General features: G+C 34.4%; 1 annotated feature.

Annotated features, from left to right (window-relative positions):
• Positions 2,776-3,277: an enhancer, noted in NCBI's record as "NANOG hESC enhancer chr7:124085682-124086183 (GRCh37/hg19 assembly coordinates)". NCBI's record gives its function as "activates a minimal SCP1, AML or CMV promoter by ChIP-STARR-seq in primed H9 embryonic stem cells {active_cell/tissue: H9 hESC(primed)}" and the evidence as "EXISTENCE:reporter gene assay evidence [ECO:0000049][PMID:30033119]".

Below are 4,334 nucleotides of genomic sequence, written 5' to 3'. Positions count from 1 at the left end.
ATTCTCACTTTTTAGGCCAATTTTAAATTTGATTACCAAAAAACATTTCCCTCAACTCCACCATATCTATTAATTAGGCCACTCCTATTTTTGCGTTTCATAGCATACTTGGTTACTTATTCATGTCTTATTTATTATTTATAAATCTAATCAGTGTTTGTCTTTTCTACTGAAACACAAAGAGATCAGGTATTGTCTATCACGGAAAATAATAAACTCAGTACACAGCAGAATTTTGTGTATATAACAAGTATTTAAAATGAATAAATTCCTAGTCTTCAGCTAATCTCTGGCCTCTTATTATTTGTGTTTACTTGACAAAACCAGCTAATCAAGTAGAAACTTTCATGCTGCCAACCTGTTGTAATGAAAGCCCACACATTTGATGTAATTTTTCTAGAAATTCTAGCAGAGCTGTTGCTTTTCTTCATTTATGGTACACTGATATCTACATTTAAGTGCCAGCAAGCTTCTACCACATGTATATGGCAGCATCTATCATACAGCCATCATTGCATTTTCCTTCTTGTCTTTGCAAAATTATGACATTTTCACTCATTTGGTTTTTGTTGTTGTTGTTTTGTTTTTGTTTTTGTTTTTTTCTTTTTTTTTTTTCAAGGACCAAGTCCATATCATCACTAATTCTCTCATATCTCTCTGAAGGTATATGTGGGGGAAAAGAATGTCTCCTCTGCTATTCTCAAGATTAGTTACAGCTTAGACAAATGATTCTGAAAGATGGAATTTCCCCAGACTACCTTTTGAGACCTGTATTTAGTTTGTCTGTAAAATGACCTCTTTTGTCAATCAAACAGAAATTTTCCTGATGAAAGCATTGATGCTGATGCAAGTTAAGTAACTAAACCAATATTAGACATTATGAAATTGATGTGATATAGTCAAAGTTTGGTTTATCTGATTCCATTGACTTAGTACTGGCTCATAATTTACACAGTGAAGGTCACAATAGCACCTGATTTGGAGTTTGGTCACATGGATTATATTCAAATAGGTCAAGGTCTGAGTACAATGTCTTATAAATTTTACATTAAATAAAATAGATTATAGTTGGACATAACCCTACCAGTCATACGCAATGAGTGAACCTGAAGTAGGACAGAAACATAGGGGTAAAATAAAGGAACACTTTATGCCGGTCAGGGATTGTTAACTCCTTTTGTATGCAGCAAGTTACTTGTTGCATACCAGAAAAGACAGTACTGATTGTTGTTCATCAAATATGTGGCAATTTTTTTTTTTTTTTTTTTTTGAGAGGGAGTCTCGTTCTGTTGCCCAGCTGGAGTGCAGTGGCACAATCTCGGCTCTCTGCAACCTCCGCCTCCCGGGTTCAAGCAGTTCCCTGCCTCAGCCTCCTGAGTAGCAGGGATTACAGGCGCACATCAGCATGCCCAGCCAACTTTTATATTTTTACTAGAGACGGGGTTTCACCATGTTGGCCAGGCTGGTCTTGAACTCCTGACCTCGTGATCCACCTGCCTTGGCCTCCCAAAGTGCTGGGATTACAGGAGTGAGCCACCGCACCTGGCTAAAACAATGTTATCCTCATTACCTCACTTCATACTCAAAATAACTCTGTGAAAACGTTGTGGAAAGTTGTATCATGTGTCCTTTCTTAAAAAATAATTAAACATTTATACAAAAAGTTGTTAAAAGTTAACTGACCTATGAATTATTTAAAAGTGTATTTTAAAATTTCCAGTTATGTGAGAGGTTTTTCTAGATATCTTATTTTGACTAATTCCTGATTAGGGTCTGTTATGGTCAGAAAATGGGATTTTTTTAGTGGCTGGGTCTAGTGGTCAGTGAAAATTAATTAGATTTAAGCCATGTACTGATTTATGTTACCATAGGACAACTGTTAAAATCTTTTATTAAAACTGTGAAATTGCCTAGTTATTCTTTTAATTAGATAAAGTTTTGTTTTATTCTTAATGTATTTCAAAACTCTGTAATTAGGTACACATACATTCACAATTGTTATGTCTTCCTGATACATTGTTTCCTTTATCATTATGAAATAACCCTCTTTATCTCTATTAATAATTTTTGTCTTGGGAACCATTTTATCACATGTTAAAAAGTCACTCCAGTCTTCTTATTCTTCCATTGCATATGTATCTTTTCCCATCCGTATGCTTTTAAACTACTTATATGTTTATATTTAAAGTGTACCTTTCCACCCAACATATCAGATCTTACATTTTATCCATGTATCAATCTCTGTCTTTTAGCTATTCAGACCAGTGCTGTCCAATTCTGTCAAACTTTTAAACTTTCTACTCTTTCATGGACACCAGTTTAAAAAATCAAGAGGTAAGCCTCAGACTAGCAGAATGTGTTTGCAATACACATTTCTAAGAATATGTTTAAAAAAAGGCCTTACAATGCAATAATAAGACAAAAGAATCCAATCAGAGAAGAGGCAAACGATTTTAATATACACTTACCAAAGAAGATATATGGCAATAAAGTACATAAAAAGGTGCTTAACATCATTAGTTACTAGAGAAATGCAAATTAAAACTTTAATGAGATATCACTACACACTACATACCCACTAGAATGTCCAAAATTAGAAGGATTGACAATATCCAGTGTTGATATGGGTGTGGAATGATTGGAACCCTCATGTTGCTGATGGGAATGTAAAATGTCATAATCCCTTTGGAAAATAGTTTTGTAATTATTTATATAGTTAAATATAACTCTTACTTACCAAATGTCCTAGTTATTTCATCTTAGGTATTTCTGCAAGAGAAATGTGATCTTATACTTACACAAATGCTTATACACAAATGTTCATAGAAGCATTATTTATAATAGCTGGAAACTGGAAAATAACCCAAATGCCCATAGACACATAATTGGAGAAAACAAATTGTGACCTATCCATAAAATAGAATATTATACATGATAAAAGGGAATGCACTAGTAATATACATAACAATGTGAGTGAATCTCAGAAGCATTGTGCTGAGTACAAACCTGATTCAAAAGAATACTTCTCCTAAGATGCCATTCATGTGACATTCTAGAAAACCAAAGCTATCCAGTGTGACAAAAGGTCTATCAGTGGTTCCTTCTTTAGAGCTGGGTGTGAGGGCTGAGGGGAGAAGGAAGAGATTGATAGTAGGTGAGCAGGATAGAACTTACAGGTGATGAAATTAGTCTATATACTGATTGTGGTGGCATGTATATTATTCTAGGTGCATAACTGTACATTTGAACTGGGTACATTTTATGTAAATTATATCACAGCAAAGTAAATTTTTTTAAAAAGCAGTAAGTGAGGCTGCAACAGGAGAAATCTGGGGACAAATGTGACTTCATCCATCCAATCTATTATTCTCTACATGGTAACTACAGTGATATTTGAAAAATATAAAAATTGGTTTATGCCTAAAATCCACCAATGACTCCTCATTATCCTGAAGATAAAGTCAAAAATTTCAACATATAATACAAGGGCTTTGACTCTTTAGTGCTTGAATGTCATTGGAAAATCCGCTGATCTCACCCTAATTCTCCAGATCTACTTTCAGTTCTCTAAACACTCTAAGCTCTGTTTTGCATCCAAGCCATTGTACATCCTATTCAATCCACCCAGAGCTCCTTTCCCTATCTCAAGCCAAGATGAATATTATATATTCCTGCCTACTTAAGCACTGGGCTATGAGGCACTTGAGTAGGCTTTCAAAAATGTTGAATAAATGAAAACATAGATATAGGAGCTTGGAAGTGGCTGAAAACAAACGGGCTGTTTGTTTTTCCTGAAAAAAAAAAATTACTAGAAACCTTATATTCCCTGGTATGATTTTTAGCATTTCAACCTTTGGGTTCAACCAAAAATGTAGTATTTTGAAAAGTAAGACCATTAATACTATAATCTCTCTTTTCATCCAAGGTTTAGGAGTAATTTACAAGCATAATCCTGTATAGGGGGAACAATAGTTCAGAGTCCTGCCTTTTATAAATACTTTTCATTTTAGAGAGCAGGCACTCCCCTAGAAATAGACTTGGAATGTTCTTCTCCTGGGGGTGGAGGACAGAAAAGCAAGGAGGCTTTTAGGAGAATCTGGATAATTTTAAGGCACTTTATGGTTTATGGAAAACTTTCACAGAGCTATCTTTGTAACTACTAACAGCACTGTGATATAAATAGTCAAGTATTAACCCATTATTGTGTGAGAGAACTCGAAGACCCAAAAAGATGAAGTGATTATCCTATATACATGCTAGAAGACCTAGGACTGGAACACTAGTCTTCTGACTTTTCATAATTTCATTTTACTAAAAATCACATAGAATGAATT

This window comes from Homo sapiens, chromosome 7 (assembly GCF_000001405.40).
Source record: "Homo sapiens chromosome 7, GRCh38.p14 Primary Assembly".
Classification (NCBI taxonomy): Eukaryota; Metazoa; Chordata; class Mammalia; order Primates; family Hominidae; genus Homo; species Homo sapiens.
This window is presented reverse-complemented; position numbering and strand designations above follow the sequence as displayed.